General features: G+C 38.4%; 2 long non-coding RNA genes across 2 annotated transcripts in view, besides 1 other annotated feature; one reads left to right on the plus strand and one right to left on the minus strand.

Annotated features, from left to right (window-relative positions):
- LINC02388 (long intergenic non-protein coding RNA 2388) overlaps positions 1 to 19,722 on the minus strand; it is a 215,758-nt gene that overhangs the window by 100,105 nt on the left and 95,931 nt on the right. The window lies entirely within an intron of this gene.
- LOC100506869 (uncharacterized) overlaps positions 1 to 19,722 on the plus strand; it is a 220,968-nt gene that overhangs the window by 74,362 nt on the left and 126,884 nt on the right. The gene's annotated exons all lie outside the window — the stretch shown is intronic.
- Positions 4,624 to 4,918: a silencer, noted in NCBI's record as "tiled region #8919; HepG2 Repressive non-DNase unmatched - State 24:Quies". NCBI's record gives its function as "represses a minimal TATA promoter and a strong SV40 promoter by Sharpr-MPRA in HepG2 cells {active_cell/tissue: HepG2}" and the evidence as "EXISTENCE:reporter gene assay evidence [ECO:0000049][PMID:27701403]".

The following is a 19,722-nucleotide window of genomic DNA, read 5'->3' on the forward strand; positions in this document are numbered from 1 at the left end:
TCTCTAGGACCATGGTTCTCAAAGTGTGGGCCTAACCAGCAGTATTGGCATCAGCTGGAGATTTTTCAGAAATGCGGATTATCATGTTTGTTGGCCGCATAAATGTCTTCTTTTGAGAAGTGTCTGTTCCTATTTTTTGCCCAAGCCATCATTCTCAGCAAACTAACACAGGAACAGAAAACCAAACCCCGCATGTTCTCACTCATAAGTGGGAATTGAACAATGAGAACACATGGACACAGGGAGGGGAACATCACACACCGGGGCCTGTCAGGGATCGGGGGAAAGGGGAGGGAGAGCATTAGGACAAATACCTAATGCATGCGGGGCTTAAAACCTAGATGACGGGTTGATGGGTGCAGCAAACCACCATGGCACATGTATACCTATGTAACAAACCTGCGTGTTCTGCACATGTATCTCAGAACTTAAATTATAATTAAAATAAATAAAGCACATTTTTGAAACTGAAAAAAAAACAAATGCAGATTATCTGGTACTACCTTAGACTTACTGAATCAAAAACTCTGAAGGTGGGACCTAGCAATTTGATTTTTTTTTTTTTTTTTTTTTTTGAGACAGAGTCTCGCTCTGCCACCTAGGCTGGAGTGCAGTGGCGTGATCTCCACTCACTGCAAGCTCTGCCCCCCGGGTTCATTTCATTCTCCTGCCTCAGCCTCCCGAGTAACTAGGACTACAGGCGCCTGCCATCACGCCTGGCTAATTTTTTGTGTTTTTAGTAGAGATGGGGTTTCACCGTGTTCGCCAGGCTGGTCTCGAACTCCTGACCTCAGATTATCCACCCGCCTTGGCCTCCCAAAGTGCTGGGATTACAGGTGTGAGCCAGCACGCCCAGCCTCACTTTTAGTCCTTTTCCTTTCCCTGTATATAAAAGAATTATCTTAGGCATTGTCTATGCACTTAGAGTCACCTCTATAACACAGACAGTGTTACAATTTTTGCTTCAAGCAGCAAACATAATTTAGAAATCTCAAGATGACAAGAAGTCTATTGTGTTTATTCATACTTTGGCTTACCATGTTTTTTCTTCCTTTCTGATGTTCCAAGGTTTCTTCTTTTATTATTTGCTTTTTTAGAGAACTTCCTTTAGTCATTCTTTGTAGTCTGTTAGAACTAAATTCTCTTAGTTTGTCTTCATCTGAGAATGTCTGGATTTTCTCCTTCATTCCTGACAGATATCTTCTCTGGGCACAGGATTCTGGGTTTACATTCCTTTTATTTTCAACACCTGGAAAACATTGTGCCACTTCCTTCTGAACTCCATGGTTTCTGATGAGCAATCTGCAGTTATTTGAATTACTCTTTCCTCTAGGTAGGTGTTTTTCTCTGGCTGTTATCAAGATAGTTGTCTTTTGCTTTTATAAGTTTAATTATAATGTATTTTGGTATGAATTTCTTTGGGTTTATCTTGTTTGAGATTCTTACCAAATTTGGGGAGTTTCCAGGTATTATTTCTTTGAGTACCATTTCAGTTCCACCCTCTTTTTTTCTCTCCTCTAGGACTCCGATAATCGAAAAGTTAGATCTTTTGTTATAGTTTCATGGTTTCTGAGGTTCTGTTTTTTTTTTTTATTTTTAGATTTCTTTCTGTTGTTCGGATTGGGTTATTTCGCTTGTTCTTTCAGTTCACTGACTCTTTCCTCTGCCTCCTACATCTGCTGTTGATCCCATCCATTGAGATTTTCTATTTGAGTTACTATATTTTTCATTTCTAAAATTTCCATTTGTTTTTTTCTTTATTCCTTTATTATTTTGCTGAGAGTTTCTATGTTTTTTTTTCTGAGAGTTTCTATTTTCTTGCTGAGGCTTTCTATTTTTTCATTTTCTATTTCTTCAAGCATATTCTTAATTGCTCATGGAAACATTTTTATGATGGTTTCTTTAAAATCTTTCTAATATGTCAGTCATATTGATGTTAGCATCTACTGGTTGTCTTTTTCTTCATTCAGTTGGAAATCTTCCCGATTCTTGATATGATGAGTGATTTTCAATTGAAACTTGAACTTTTAAAAAATTGTGTTATGAGACTCCAGATCTTATTTAAAATTCTGGTTTAGTTGGCTTTCTCTGATACTGCTCTGGCAGGGGAATAAGGAGGTGGTGTATCACCTTGTTTCTACAAAGTGGAAATAGAAGACCAGATTCTCCACCTGGCCTGCATTCAAAGAAGAGGGTTCCTTAGCACCGTGTAGGGGTGGGAGACTATGTGATCTCCACTATACTGTGGTGAGGATGGCCTTATTACTGCTGGGTAATAGGTGAAAGTCCTGACTGTACACTAGGCCTCCTCTGATACCACCTCAGGCAGGAAAGGGAAGGGTGCCTCATTATTATAGCCAGGTGTTGGGGGAAGTCCAGGATTCCCATGTGATCTCCATTAACATGGGATGAGGACTCATTACTGATTGGAGGGTAAGAAAGTCCTGGCTCCCTACTAGGTCTTCTTTTACATCACCCGGCAGTGGGGTTGGGATGTCTCCTGACAGCCTCACTAGGATGGATGTCTAGGCTCCTCGCTCCAACTTTGCTGGCCAGTGAAGGTGAGGCTACCATTTGTTTCTGTGGTGCTTAGCTGGAGTGAAGTTTGTATTTTCAGAAAGTTTTCTGCCTTGCTAGGCTGCCGCTTTCCTGGTCCTTTGGTTGGTGGTTTTTTTTTTTTGGTTTTTTTTTTTTTTTTTTTTTGTCTGAGACCATTGGCATTTCCTGGTTGCTGTTTTCTTCCATTCCATGTCTGGGATATATGAGGCAAAAAGAAAACCTAGGGAACTCACTATCTTGAGTGGTTCCTCAGGTCTCAAGGCTTTTGTCCATCTGACTTTTTCTCTTGACCTTTCAGAGTTGTCTTATGTGATTGATAGATAGACATAAATGTCCAAGGCTTTTAGTTTACTACTCAGTGGGAGAAAGAGTGAAAAGCATTTCCGTTCCATCTTTCCAGAAGTGGAATTCACCCAGTCTGCATTTTAATAAGCCCTCCAGGTCATTCTGATGCTTACTAAATTCTCAAGAATCTTTGCTTTTATGTTTTTGTAACCACCTCCCTTCTACCACAGCTGTGGGGCAAATGAATGAGCATCTGTGTGTTAACATGAAAAGTTTTGGGTCACTGTTACTATCTTAGCAGAAAAGCCTTTTCCTTATTTGTCAATCCTTTCATAAATCCCCTACTATAGTCATGTCTTATATCACTTTAATCTAAAGGTTTGAGATAGTTGCAGAAGGTGAATAGGACCACGATGTCTATGTCAGGGCTCAAGTTTAGACAGAGATCACAGTCAAGAGTGGCTTTTGAGTGTAGTGCCCTAGACAGGAGTTTCTGGTTCATACTGAACATGAGAAAACAGGTTAAAAAAATGTTGTTGTAATGTAGAAATTGTTCAGAAATGTGGCTGAGCCTTCTCAAGAACACAAAGATGATGTGACAGTCATTTCCACTGTGAGCAGGTTTGCTTCATAATCCTTTCCTTCCCAGTAAGAGAAGATTGGGATTTAGCAGCAGCTGGGAGTCCCCTGGGAACTGTCGAGTCCCCTGTCTAGTTTGAACAATGTTCCAGAAGGTAAAAATGACTAACGTTAAATTGCCTTAATCCAGTCATTTAAAGAAGTTATTTATCAATATTATTAGATCAATAAGATTGCCCTAACAGCAACATGTTTTTACAGGTTATAGTGCAACAGTTATTGTTGGAATCTTCTAAAGTAATACTGTGTATGAATATAGTCCCTTTATTTATTTATTTATTTATTTATTTATTTATTTATTTATTGTTGGAGACACAGTCTCACTCTGTCGCCCAGGCTGGAGTACAGTGGCATGATCTCATCTCACTGCAACCTCTGCTTCCCAAGTTTAAGTGATTCCTGTGCCTCAGCCTCCTGAGTAGCTGGGATTACAGGTGTGCACCACTACACCCAGCTAATTTTTTGTATCTTTAGTAGAATCAGGGTTTCTCCATGTTGCCCAGGCTGGTCTTGAACTCCTGACCTCAAGTGATCTGCCCGCCTCAGCCTCCCAAAGTGCTGGGATTATAGGTGTGAACCACCACACCCAGGTAGCCCCTTTATTTTTCTTTTTAAGTCAACATTAATAGTCAAGTTATTCATTTGCTGTTGGCATACTGTGATCATATACCTCTTAACCAATGAAGAAACTGAAGAAGTGAGGTGAGGAGATTTTGTTCTCAACAGTTGTTTCTTAAAGATTATTAAAGATAATAGGCAGCTAAGCACTTATTGTGCAGAGTGCTGTTCATAGGACTTATATGTACATACATTGTTGGGTCTTTTAATCCTTCTGACAACCTACTATTACAATCATCCTGAATTTTCAATGTCTCATTTGTACCCATCGGATTTTAATTTATGGAGGTGACTGAGTGATTGACATAGGTCAATGCCATAAAAAATCTATATATATTACTTACATTTCTCAAGAGAAGGGGGCATGCCTCACTACACAGGGCCACAGGAGAAGAGCCAGACTGGATGAGGAGGCAGAGGCAGGAGTGAGGAGAAAGCCTACCAGAGTCTTAACTGGGTTTCTGCAAGAAAGGCAAGGCAGGGCAGAGTCAAGAGTGTAAGCTTGGTTAGTTTGAATAATTCTGGTGGGTTCTGGGCTGTAGGAGTAATTTTTTGCTGCCTAGTATCTGGCCCTGGGATGATTTAGCACAGGAGGAATATTGGCTTAGTGTCTGGGAGTTAGATGAAGAGAGTGGGTGGGGAGGCAGACTCTGCGTTAGTTGCTTTGCATGTGAAAGGTGTGCTCCCAAGTGAGTTGTTTACTATTTTTAGGGATTAACTAGCCCTGGTAGGGGCCATCTCTCCCACATCTGTAAGTCCTGCCCTATCCCCACCTCAAGATGTCAAAACATCATAAGATAAAGAAAATAGACAGTATGATTAATATAAATGAGGACACTGAGATATGAAAAGTTTAGAGAACTGGCCCAGAATCACACAGATAGGATGTAGCAGAGCCTGGACATGAACCAGCTCAAGCTGCCTCTGAAAATCCTGTATGGCTTTGACTTTTAGACAGCCGCCTGGTTTTTGCCCTTATACCACATGACCTTTAATGATCTTAGGCACAAATAGATGATGAAATATGAAAGCAGAAATGCCTTTAATGAGTGCAAAGAGGAGAACAAAACCCTTGGAACTAGACTTTGGGAGCTTAAACTATTGGAACTGGGATCATTTAGTCTGGTGAAGGGGAAGATTAGGTGCAAGCTTGAGTGGTGAAAGACAATGACCCTGGGCTCTGAAGCACTGGGGTTTACCCTTATCTCCAGATGAAGGACGCAGGACAGAAATGAAAACGTTCCTAGGAATGTACCAGCCAGGTCTGAGTCCATTCTGAGTAATCAATCACTGTGACACAGGTTTTACAAAAGAGAAAAGTTTTATTCGCAAGGCTGCCAAGTGAGGAGGTGGGAGAACAACTCTCATGTCCACCTCTCCAAATATAAGTCTTACAGATATTTATGGGTTAGGGAAGTGGAGTGGTCTAAGGTATGGGGAAAGGTGACTGGCAGTGAGGAACAGTGAAATAACAGGTCCCTTCTGTGCAGGCACAATCAGGGTTCATGGCATTCCATAAAATACATGTACAGAAAATGGCAGCATTAGCATGATCTGAGGGTGGAGTTTTTGGCTCTCTGATGTCAAAAGCCCCCTTCTTGGGCACTTGTTCAGGCCCATTTGAAGAGTTAGTGGTCTCAACAGGTTTGAACCGGACAGGAGTTGGGTCCAGTTCCTGAAAAACTACTGAAATGACCATTACCATGATGACACATGAATGTTATCTATAAAGTAGCCAGTGAAGGTTAAGTTTCAGTGTTTAGCAGTAGCCTTCAGCTACCAGGACCTTCGTCTTCATGGAAAAAGGAAAAAAGTTAAGTGACCAAAAGCAAGCAGGGCAGGTGGACCTGATCAAATTAACCCCTTGATTTCAGGAACACTGATTGTAATATAGTGCTGGGTTGCCAATTAAAGACATAAATCTATGTTTCAGGAATCAGTTCTTTTCCCTTCCCCCCACCAAAGTCTGTGCTTTTCTACTGCTCTTATCTTCTAATACATATTATAATAAAGTACAGAGTGATCTGGAATTATATCTTCAAGACCCTTTCTTTTATATTATTCTACCTTAAATAACGTGGCATCTTACATTTGCAAAGGGTTTACATTTTACTTCGTTACTTGCCAATGCAAGATATATTACATTATCATTCTATATCATTTTAAAACAGATTCCAAATCTCCATTCTTGAGGGAAATTTATTACCCATCATAGAATATGGAGCTGAGAAGGGGATGGTCAAGGCCCTGTACTTCCGAGGTCACATGAGAGAATAGGGGTCTATATAGTCTCTGAAAGATTAGAGTTTCTTGTCTTCAATATGATCACAGAGTTTATTACTCAAATGTTTATGATCATTATGAAAACAGATGACTCACCTTATCAATGGTCCCTTTCTTTTTTCTTTTTTCTTTTTTTCACCTCAAAATGTCTACTTTTAGTTGATGGCCCCATAGATCTAGGTGGTGTGGCTATACCTGTACCAAACCTAGGGGCAGAGTGAGGGTCTTGATGGTTGGTACAGTCTTTCAAGATGCATGACACAGCTTGCAAATGAGCCAGGGTCAATCTTGCTACTCCATCAAGTACCACCTTCCTTTCCCCAGGCTTGCAGAATTTGCCTTATTAAAGATATGGAATTGTTCTTCCTGCTGTTCAACCCCAAAGACCTTCTTTCTCCTTTCCTCCTCTCATTGGCCTATTACCTCCTTAATCAATTCAGGCTTTCAAAACCAAAAGTTGATAAGAGGCATTATCTTTGAACACATCTTTCTTCGGCTTTGGAACTCAAATACACTGAACCCAAAAGCTTTTACTATTTTAATGAGGGAAGAAAAAAATACAGTGAGATCAAAATGCAAATTAGTATCTCAATAAACCACCCTACCATCCTGCTTATAGACTCAGAGAAAGGTTGTACTATATTCCACATCAACAAGATGCTACAAATCTATTCTTAGTGAGACTTCAACCTAAAATTGCCATCTGCCATCATCCTGCTGCCTCCAATAAAGGTTTTTATAATTGCTAGAGACCAGCTGGTCATTTCTCTCATTATTCAATGCAAATATGTTATATAAAGAGAGTATAACATGAAATAACATTTCAAAATATAATGTCACATTAGAAAAAATACCAACAGAATGCATTTTTTGGCCATGGGACTAAAAACAGCTTGTTGGAACTCATTTTGTTTGTTATAACTAAGCCACTCTGGAATAATTTCTTCTTTTCCAATGTGTAATGGTTCATTTCATGCATGGAACAACTGTAATGAAAACAGCTCTTTACTAAGTCTTTGCCTTTTGGCTTTAAATTGCAATTAAAATAACATTACTTAGATCTTAGTTGTCCTCCATCTCTACCTCTGATGCTTAGGTTGTGGTATCTATCTAAAATTCTTTGCCTCATATAGAAATATGTGAGAAGCTGAGAAAATCAATTTTAATGAAAGACAGGATAGGAGAAAAACAGATAGGATTTTAAAAACTCAGCGATTGCAAAAAAGCTTTTAAGGAGAAGCAACAACCATCATGAAATGCTTCAATAAAGGAATTAAAGACTTGGGAGGCAGCCAAAACATATAGTTGCAGGCAACTGACTAAAGGGTGTTAATAAATTTACATCCCATTATGGGGACAGTCAAGGTTAGGTGTTATGGCCAAACAGGAGGTGTTTGAAAATAAAACAGGCAGCTTTTACAGTATTTAAAGTGGGGGTAATGGATAATTCTGTTTTGTGGACTCTGGGACCACACAGAAATATTCAGGAGGAGGGAAGAGCTACCTCTCCACTCCCTATCTCCACCCGCTTTTGAGATTTTTCTTCTCCTGCTCATGAAAGCCAAGCCACTAAAGCCATGGCTTTTTAATGTCCAGAAATGCAAATCTGCTACCATTGTGATCAAACCTGGCTCTCAAATGTATTCTTTCCCATTCTCTTATTTCTCCACTGCACTATCCTTACTTAGGTCACCATCATCTGTCAATTATGTCACTGTAACAGCTCTCGATATCCTCTCCCTAACTTCAATTTACTCCCACTACTGCAAAACTCATCTATCTAAAATGCAAATCTGAACATGTCGATTCTCCTTATTACTATTAGTTGCCCACAAAATAAAATTCAAATTCCTTAGAATATTCTATTCTTATTAATTTTTGTCTTGTTTATTTATATCTACATCTGATCTATTTTATTTTGGGAAATTCACCAGTAAATGCTACCAGTGGGATACAATGCACTGCCTCCCTCTGATAGTCTTCCAAAAAATCTTTTGTGTAATCCAGGTTCTTTTCTGTTGCTTTCCAGCAAATGCTCTGATCTACAGGGACAAGTCCCTTCATGATCTGTTACTTGCGTTTTCTCTTGAGGCTCGTTTCCTGGCACCCCCAACTCCCTCTCTATGTTTAGACCTGTCTTTCCAATCTACTTGGAGCCCACTGAATGCCTTATGTTCTCTGTTCTCCAGGTATATGAACATGCTCTTTCTTCCTCCCAGAATACCCCTTGTCTTGGCTTCTTCTTTTTTTTTTTTTTTATTTTTTTGAGACAGAGTCTCGCTCTGTCACCAAGGCTGGAGTGCAGTGGCACAATCTCGGCTCACTGTAAGCTCTGCCTCCAGGATTCATGCCATTCTCCTGCCTCAGCCTCCTGAGTAGCCGGGACTATAGGCTCCTGCTACCATGCCCGGCTAATTTTTTTTTTGTATTTTTAGTGGAGAGGGGGTTTCACTGTGTTAGCCAGGATGGTCTTGATCTCCTGACCTCCTGATCCACCCGCCTGGGCCTCCCAAAGTGCTGGGATTACAGGCGTGAGCCACCTCGCCCGGCCTGTCTTGGCTTATTCTTTTTTTTTTTTTTTTTTTGAGATGGAGTCTTGCTGTGTTGCCCAGGCTGGAGTGCAGTGGCGCGATCTTGGCTCACTGCAAGCTTCACATCATTCTCCTGCCTCAGCCTCCTGAGTAGCTGGGACTACAGGCGCCCGCCACCACGCCTGGCTAATTTTGTGTATTTTTAGTAGAGACAGGGTTTCACCGTGTTAGCCAGGATGGTCTCGATCTCCTGACCTCGTGATCCGCCTGCCTTGGCCTCCTAAAGTGCTGGGATTAAGGCGTGAGCCACCATGCCTGGCCTTGGCTTATTCTTATACATCCTTCAGTTTAGATGTTGGCTCCTTTAGGAAGCTTTGGCTAGTACTTAAAGAATGCGTTACCTCCCCTAATATGACCATGTTTTTACTTCTCTATTGACTCACAAATCACCTACTCATCTTCTTGAAGTTTTCTTTTGACTGAAAGTTTGATAAGGATATAGACTATGCACTTTTCACTATTATTTCTCTAGTACCTAGCCCTCAAGGTGAAACATAGGAGAAACAGTAATTATTCCTCTATAAACAAATTGTCTAATTAATTTAATTGTAAGTGAGCTTGAAACATGTATATTTCCTTTTTGAGGGATAGTAATACAATCTTGAATATTGTTTAACAGGATGAGTATTTCAGTTATTCACATACCACCTTTATAACCTTAGTCTGCTCTAAATAATGGCTGTGCTGTTATCTAAGAATTTTCTTTAGATAAACATTTTTAGGAAAATAAATTTAATTTAAATAGTTTTTTATTTGTGCATATTTACAGGGTACATGGGAAATTTTTTACATGTATATAATGTGTAATAATCAAATCAGGGTATTCAGGGTGTCCATCACTTGAGCATAATGCATTTTTTTTAACTATAGTCATCCTACTCTGCTATCTAGCATTGGATTTATTTTTTCTATCATATTACACATTTATACCCTTTAACCTACTTCTCTTCATTCTTCCCTGTCCCCTCACTCACCCTTCCCAGTCTCTGTTATTTATCTTTCCACCTTCTACCTCCATGTGTCCAAACTTTTTAGCTTCCTCATATAAGCGAGAATATGTGATATCTTTTTGTGCCTGGCTTATTTTACTTAAGATAATGACCTCTACTTCCATCCATGTTACTTTAAATGACATGATTTCATTCTTTTATATGCCTGAAAAGTATTTCACTGTGTACACATGCTACATTTTCTTTATCCATTCATCAGTTGATGAACATTTAAGTTGATTCAATATTTTTGCTATTCTGAATAGTGCTGCAATAAACATGTGAGTACAAATATCTCTATGATATATTGATTTTTCTGTGGGTAGATACATGGTAGTGGCATTGCTAGATTGAAGAGTAATTCTATTTTTAGTTTTTTTGAGCAACCTCCATACAGTTTTCTATGATGGCTATACTAGTTTACATTCCCACCAGCAGTATACGAGAGTTATCTTTGCTCCTCTTCCTCACCAACATCTTTTTGTTTTGCCTATTTATTTATTTATTTTTGTATTTTTTATTTTTTACTTTAAGTTCTGGGATACATGTTCTATGTGCTGGTGATAAGAATGTATCATCTGCAGCTGTTGGATAGAATGTGCTGTAAATGTCCGTTAGGTCCATTTGGTCTAAAATTCAGTGTTTTTTTTTATTATTTAATTTTCTTCTAGATGCACTGTCAAATGCAGAGAGTGAAGTATTAAAGTCCCTCACTATTATTGTATTGAAGTCTATCTCTCTTTTTAGATCTAATAACATTTGTGTATGAATCTGAATGTTGCAGTGTTGGTGCATATATATTTAGAATTGTTATACCCTCTTTCTGGATTGATCACTTTTTATTATGTAATGACCTTCTTTGTCTTTTTTTTATTGTTCTTGACTTAGTCTGTATTACCTGATATAAGTATACCTACTTCTGTTCACTTTTGATTTCCATTTGCATGTAATATCTTTCATTTGCCTGTAATATCTTTCTATTCCTTTACCTTCAGTCTATATGTGTCTTTACAGATGAGATGAGTTTCTTGTAAGTAGCATATTTTTGGATCACAATTTTCAATGCATTCAGCCATTCCATATGTTTTAAATGGAGAATATAATCCCTTTACATTTAAGGTCATTATTGATATATGAGGTTTTATTCCTGTCATATTGTTAATTGTTTTATGTATTCTTTGTTGCTTTCTTTTTCTTCTTTTTAAAATTTTATTATTATTATACTTTAAGTTTTGGGGTACATGTGCACAATGTGCAGGTTTGTTACATATGTATACATGTGCCATGTTGTTGTGCTGCACCCATTAACTCGTCATTTAGCATTAGGTATATCTCCTAATGCTATCCCTCCCCCCTCCCCCCACCCCACAACAGTCCCTGGTGTGTGATATTCCCCTTCCTGTGTCCATGTGTTCTCATTGTTCAATTCCCACCTATGAGTGAGAACATGCAGTGTTTGGTTTTTTGTCCTTGCGATAGTTTGCTGAGAATGATGGTTTCCAGCTTCATCCATGTCCCTACAAAGGACATGAACTCTTCATTTTTTATGGCTGCATAGTATTCCATGGTGTATATGTGCCACATTTTCTTAATCCAGTCTATCATTGTTGGCCATTTGGGTTGGTTCCAAGTCTTTGCTATTGTGAATAATGCCACAATAAACATACGTGTGCATGCGTCTTTATAGCAGCATGATTTATAATCCTTTGGGTATATACCCAGTAATAGGATGGCTGGGTCAAATGGTATTTCTAGTTCTAGATCCCTGAGGAATTGCCACACTGACTTCCACTAGAGTTGAACTAGTTTACAGTCCCACCAACAGTGTAAAAGTGTTCCTATTTCTCCACATCCTCTCCAACACCTGTTGTTTCCTGACTTTTTAATGATCGCCATTCTAACTGGTGTGAGATGGTATCTCATTGTGGTTTTGATTTGCATTTCTCTGATGGCCAGTGATGATGAGCATTTTTTCATGTGTTTTTTGGCTGCATCAATGTCTTCTTTTGAGAAGTGTCTGTTCACATCCTTCGCCCACTTGTTGATGGGGTTGGTTGTTTTTTTCTTGTGAATTTGTTTGAGTTCATTGTAGATTCTGGATATTAGCCCTTTGTCAGATAAGTAGGTTGCAAAAATTTTCTCCCATTCTTTTTCTTTTATTGTTTGTCGTTGTGGTTTGGTGAATTTCTATATTGGTACCATTTGAGTCCTTTGTCTTCCTCTTTTTTTGTGATTGATTTACCAGTGAGTCTTATAATTTCATGTGTTTTCATGTGGTAAATAGTGTCCTTTTGTTTCCAGTTTAGGATTCCTCAAGCATTTCTTTTAGGTCTGGTCTAGTGTTAACAAATTCATTCAGCATTTTCTTGTCTGGGAATGGCTTTATTTCTCCTTAATTTATGAAGGATAATTTTGCTGGATATAGTGTTCTTGGGTGGCACTTTTTTTTTTCTTTCAGCACTTTGAATATATTATCCCGTTCTCTTCTGGCCTGTAAGGTTTCTGCTGAAAAATCTACTGTTAGTTTGATGGGGTTTCCTTTATAGGTAGCTACATGCTTTTTTCTTGCTATTTTTAGGATTCACTCTTATCTTTGACTTTAGAGAGTCTGATTATAATGCCTTGTTGAGAAGACCTTTTTTGCACTGTATCTTCCTAGGGATCATTGTGTCTCCTATATCTGAATGTCTCTATGTCTTGCTAGATCTTGAGAGTTTTCATCATTACTTTGTTAAATAGGTTTTCTAATCCTTTCTTTGTGCTTGGGGATACCAATAATTTGTAAATTCAGCCACTTTATGTTTTCCCTAATGTTGTGAAGGCTTTTCTCTTTTTTAAAATTATTTTTTCTTTATTTCTTGTCTGACTGGATTATTTCAAAAGACCTGTGTTGAATTCTGAGACTCCTTTTTGCTGCCTGATCTCGTTTACTGTTGAAGCTTTCAAACGTATTTTGTGTTTCCTTCAGTGAATTATTCAGTTCCAGAATTTCTATTTGGTTCTTTTTAAAAATATCATATCTCTTTGGTAAATTTCCCATTTGTGTCCTGAATTATTTTTCTGACTTCTTTGAATCCTTTTTTTTTTTCTTTTTAGAATTTTCTTGTATCTCACTGAGCTTCTTTAAAATCAATATTTTGAATGTTTATCTGGGCTTTCAAAAATTTCTTTTTGATTAAGATCTATTGAAGGAGAATTATTGTGTTCCTTTGGAGGTATCTTTTTTTGTTTTTCATGCTTCCTGTATCTTTATGTTGATATTTCCACATCAGGTGTAACATTCACTTCTTCTCATTTTTGAATTTACTTTTGTGTGTATGTTGTGGGGGTGGGGCTTTTTCCTGAAATTGTATCTATGGTTTTGGATGGGTAGGGGGCTTTGCCTTTGATTTTGAGTGCTTGTAGTAGTGTAGTCTCTGTATGATTTATTTGGCCGTAAACTGTGTTAGTGGTATCCATGATTCCCTTGATGGGTTAGGGTGAGTTTATTAGTGGAAACGGTGCTAAAATTGTGTTGGGGACTGGTATGCCAGCTAGGCCAGTCTTCAGACCCCAGTGGTGGCAGCAGTGGGCTACGTATGCCCAGGGTAATATATTCTGACACCTGTGTTGGTGGTTATTATAAGGCCAATTAATGGACTTCCAGTTGGCTTGCCCAGATGCCAGTAGTGGCAGCAGTGGAACTGGCAGGTGGGCAAGTTCTCAGGCCCCTGGGAAGTCAGTATGGGCAATGGCAGAAGCAGTGGCAGGATGATTCTTTGGGTCCTGAGCAGTGTTCATTGATATTGACAGTGGCTACAATGGGCTAAGTGGGTCAGTCTCCAGGCCCATTGGTGGTGTTTATAGGTAGATGCTAGCTAAAATAGTAGCAGCCAGGAGTTTAGGTCCAATCTCAGGCCCTCAGAATGAGGGCTCAGGTATTCAAGGTGGTGAACTGAGTTGGACAATCCACAGAACCCTGGGCTATGTGCTCTGTTTTAGAGGTGGGATATAAGCCAAACTGAATGGGCTTCTTTTTAGGCCCCCAGTGGTGAGAGCAGGCACCAGCCGTGGTGAGTGGGGGCACAACAATCCTTAGACCCTAGGTAGAGTGCTCAGGTGAGAGTCAGTAGCAGCCACACCAAGACTGTGTCACCGGAGAGAGTGGGGTCATCTTTGGTGGCCACAACTTGGGCTGACAGGTAAGCAATGTCATCCTTTTCATACCCCGGTACTGACAGGGTGTTCTCCCTTGCTCTGGTAGCAGTAGCTGGTGTCTAGCTCACACCCTGCCCTGATTGCAGGAGCCCTCACCCAGCTCCTGACTAAGTCCCATTGACAACTCATGTGTTATTCACATTTGTGTCTCAAATCCCAGCAGCACTTACTTCCCAATACTGGCCTCTACAGACCATGCCTCCCTTGTTTCTTAGGCTCAGCTGTGGGAATGCTCCTAGCTCACTTCTCTGTCCCAGAAGCAACAGCCTGAGTATCCACAATGCCTTGTCCTGGCAACACTGTGCCCCATGACAGTGTGCTGTTTACCAGAGCGTAGGCTTGAAAATACCATCTTGTTGTAGCTGCTTAGGTCTCAGAAAGCGCGTGGGACCCAGTGCGAGATCCCTCCCTGGAGCAGTTCCATCCCATGGTCTCCTGGAAGCTCCCTATGTTACTTTCAGGGCTTGGAAGGGTTGAGGGACTCTCCCATGGGCAGGATTGCATGATTTCATGGTAGGAATGTGGGCCATTGAAATTCTCTCATTCACACTTCCCCTACATCGGGAGATTACTCCTGGCTCCCAGCCACTCCCTGTCAGGGAGGCTGCCGTTTTCCCTTCTCCTTCTATACTTTGGTGTTTCCTGTCACTTCTATGTTGAAATCCAGTGTCGTCTCTGGGACAATGTATTTGAAGTGTGACTGTCTATACACTATTCTGGTTCTCCTAAGTGGAGAAGGCAGGCATGGAATTCTTCTAGTTAGACATCTTGCATCGCCCTCCCTAAAATAAGTTTATTTTTAAAGGCAACTTTATGCCATTATTATAAGTGAAAAAAGCATTATTTGCCACAAATAGTAGGTACAGATTAATGCAAATTAAAAGCAATATACAGCTATTAAAAATGTATGCATGAACATAAATAATAAACAGTGTGTTCATACTTGAAAATTTGTCTTGTGTTCAATCATTGGTGTACGTGCCACATTTTGGAATCATTGTTTTATATTGTAAGAATCATCTATACTCATGTTTTGAACTAATCTTTGCTCTCCATTCTTCACAGGGTTGTTATGATAAATATGGGAGATAAAATTAAACTCTTCTTATAAACTGTAAAGCTCTACACAAGGGTAATGTTCATTAGTTTTATGCTACTTCTACTGGGGCAGGTAAGTGGCTGAAAGAGTAAGACCAGGAAGACGTCTAGAGGGTCATATTTCACTTATACAGTTGTTTGTGAATAACTCAGTTTTACTCTTAGACTTTTCAGAATCCACCAAAATTCAATGTTATTCCAGGAGTTATTTTCATGTCACTTACTCATTATCAAAGTGATTTTTCAGATTGAAGGACTGAAAATGTTTTCTCATAAACTAAGTCCCAATTTAAGTCTCAGGGAGTATGTTAGTTGGAAACAAAAAAGTTATTAGCACATTAAACTCTACCACCAATATAAACATTTAAAAGTAGAGTAAATATGTACACAAAGTAAAAGCTTACAAAGATACCATACTTATATTAACCAAATCCTACATGATTCTACCACAAAGAAGTTTCATTCCCATCTTTCTTATTCGTGTGTTCATTTTGAATGTCCTTATTTTAATAATGTGATGAACACCCACAGACCTATTACCCAGACCAAGAGCTAGAACACTAACAAGGACTCATGTTTACTTATGTCCTTCCCTTCTTCCTTCCCCAGAGGTCACTGCCAGCTTGAATTTTATGCTTAGCATTGTCTTGCTTTCCACCCCTGTACTTTTATGACATATATATGTCTAAACGATATATTATTTAGCTTTATTTGTTTTAGAAAATTATAAAAAGGGCTTAAGGCTATATGTAGTCTTCTGGGAATTGTTTTTTACACTTGATACTGTTTTATGTTACTAAGATTAATCTGTATTTGTAGATATAGTTGCAGTCAATTATTATTTTTGTGTATGTGTGTATGTGTGTCTATAATATAAAGCACAATTTTTCTGTGGGTGGGCATCTGAATTTTTTCCAATTTTTTTTCTACTCTAACTATTTTGATGTTATTGAGAAAACAAGGGTGAATCACCTACAAGCAGGCCCAATGGCCTTTCCCAGACAACATTGAGAAAACTTGTGGTGACAGCAGCAGTGGCAACCTGAAGACCCTCACAGCTGCCCTTTGGTGTTGCCACTACCTGTGATCATTAATATGAAGTCAGTAGGTCCTTGTTACAATATGTAGCCCCTGTATTAAGAAGGTAAAGTTAGTGAAATCTAGGCTACCCTTCAGAAGAAAAAAAAATGAATATGACACTTTATTTCTACAATCTTTACTATAAGTTAATTATTCAAAATAACAAGTTCTATATTCATTTTATTTTGGAGATCGTTTATCTCTACACAAAGGCTGGAGAAGCTATAAACCAGTAGTTGTTAATCTTTGTTGCATATTAGAATCACTTGGGGGATATTTAAGAACCTTGATGTTTGTGCCACTTTATAGAACAATTAAAGCAGATTCTCTAGGGGTGGGACCTGGGCATCAATATTATTTTTAAAGTTCCTTATGGATCCAACATACAGCCAACATTGAGAACCAGTGCTCTAAGCCACAGGATATAACATTTGTGCTAATCATTCATACTTCAACTGAGCAAATGCAGGCTGGCTACTTTAAATCTGAGGCAAGGAAGATGTATTTGGAAAACAATATCAAACATTTTTAAAAAACATAAAGTAAAAATTTAAAATCTATAACTACTTATAAAACAGGAGTCCACAAAACAGAATAGTTTACCAGAAATCATTATGATTTTCAAAGCAGCTGCTTCTACTAGAAACTTCGTTTATTTCTCTCTCTTTCTTTAATGTATATTTTGAAGTTATGCTCCTCACTCTACCACTCTAACCTTCACTGAAAAACTCTGGAAAGAACTGAAAAATGAATGACATCTAGAATTAGGATTTTCCATTGCATCTCACTTTCTTATCTTCTCAGGCTATTTTCTGCTGTCCCACAATGTCACATAAAAAATTCTTGGAGCTAGAGCAAGATGTTTGCCCTTCCTTCAGGAAAGTTTAATCTACAATATTTTATTATTCCATGTTTATTTAGTAAACATTTGTTGAGCAGGTGCTATGTGCTATGCATTGGTCTAAGCAATGAGACTATGAAAATGAAGAAGGCATAGTATATAATTTAGTGAGGAAAATGGATTTCCATGCAAATAATTTTTTAAAAAATTAATTAGTTACTTAAATTTCAAAACAATGATACATTTGTTTTAAAAACCAAAAAGTATAAAAGAAGTCTCTTTTTCACCATTGTTCAGTTCATAAACAGGACCCTCCAAGATGCAGTATTATTAATTTTACATGTAACCTTCTAGATATTTTAGAATATATACAAATGAAAATATAAATATATATTATCACCTTCCCCTTTTTTCACAAATAGTAGATTATTTAACACAGTGTTTTGCACTTTAATGTTTTTCACCTTACAATATATCTTGTAGACCTTTCTATTTCAATACCTCCAGATTTTATTATTTCACATAGGTGGCTGGTTTTCATTGTACTAATATTCTGTAATTCATCTTTCCAACTCCTAGAGACAAACATTCTATTTTTTTTCCAATCTTTTTCTATAACAAGTAATGCTGCAATGAAGAGTTCTGTGTCCATGCCATTTCATCATCTCATATCTGTAAAATCTAGAATAAATTCCTAGTCCTGGAATTATTTAGTCAATGACCTTGTACTTTTGATAGATCTTGACAATTTGTCATGCACTGAAGGCTGGTTTCCACACTTCTCAGCAACGTATAGACGTGCCTGTGTCTTCACATTATTGTGAACACAATATATTCATTAAAATTTGCTTTTTGTTGATTTGATGGGTGGAAAATGGTGTGGTATTAATTTGCATAACCCTGATTATGAGTGAAACTAAACAGCTTTTTATAATTTCGGTGTTAAGTGAGGTAAAGGAGGTACTTGAACTAAGTAACAATAGAAACAGTGGAGAAGGACGATTTATTATCTTTACCCCTGAAAACAAAAACTCAACTTAAGTACAAGGAGCCTCAGCAGTTTGCTTTAGATTTTTTCTCGAAATGCATCACCAGCTTACCAAGTAATGGTGAATGCAGGACAAGAACATGGTTTCCCATTGTTTTTTCTCCTCTAACTGTTCTACCTGATCTTTTAAAATGCATTGCAACCTCAGCTTCTGGGTTGCTGCCTATGTTTTCTGTAAGTCTGGTTTTCCTTCAGTTTGAGTTCATGCTTGTCATCATTCAAATATTTTGGTGACATTTTTACTACTGCTTTTTAAATATTACTCTTAAAATTTGAATATGCCATCGCATGTTTGTCCTACAACTATAACTAAAAAAATTCTACCTTGTGTAACATTTTAGTTTGCAACGTACTTTGTGTTATAGTATCTCATTTAAAGGTTTCAACTCCATAATTTACTTTTGAGAAATTGCCTCCATTTAAACACATAGAAATTTGCAGGCAGTTACTTGCTGCCAGCCTCACAGATAACCCAACCTGGGGCATGTTGAAATCCACACTCTGAAATTCTAACTTCAAAGCCAGTAAGTACATTTTCTAACTAGATTGGAGATGGTTGACTGTGACAAAATACTCTTTCATTCTCCTTTGCCTCTGCCTGTCTCTGCCTCTGTATCTGCAGAGATGCTATTAGCAGCCTGGTGAGCAAAGTTACTAAATGTCTCTCATCTGCCTGATTTCCCTCTCCAGACCTTGCGCACATTGACTTTTCTCTGGGTTTAACTATCAGCACTCATATTCCAGTTAGTTACTTAAGAGACTTACTTTGTAGGCAAGTTGGTGAACAATTGATTAAAAATTTCTTCCAGCCTCCTCCTGACCTGGTCTTTATACAAGGTTTGTTACTACAATCAGACAGATAGAATCACCTGCCTTCTCTATTGGGATATTTGTTCTTTGGTCTAAAATAAATTAACACAGCCCTGAAAGAAACCTTTTATCCCTTGGTATCCCTCATCATCACCCTTTGAAGTGTTTTTGAAAGGAGCAGTTAAATCAGAACCTTTCATGAAATTGTCAGTCTGATTCCTTGGAGGTCCAGACCTAAACAGCAGAAGCACACAAGCTGGCACACATTATTTTCCTCTGCCCAAGAGTCTTTCCTCTTAAGCATAAAAAGCTGTGTGTGGTTTCCTTCTTTGTACAAGGGCACTCTATTTTGGTCTTATCCTCCACGGCATGAACCGATAAATTCAAAAAAGACTCTGATTCAATTGAATGAAGAAACATTGGACTACATCAGGTGCAGGGAGTGTGACCTCCCCATTATTTTTTTTTTTTTTGCCTTTTAAACTGTTCCTGTCTGGTAATATTTGGTGATTTAAAATGAATTATCTTGGTCATCTCTCTGCAGATGCTTAAGAAACAAATCTGGCTGAGTTAACAAGTCCTGCCTTGTGACAAGTGAACCGCTCTTTGTAAGGCCAAGAAGAAAACACTTCGGATTAATTCACTCTTTTAGGGGTAACAAGCTGACTTCAGACTTGACAGCCA

Source organism: Homo sapiens, chromosome 12 (genome assembly GCF_000001405.40).
Source record: "Homo sapiens chromosome 12, GRCh38.p14 Primary Assembly".
NCBI lineage: Eukaryota > Metazoa > Chordata > Mammalia > Primates > Hominidae > Homo > Homo sapiens.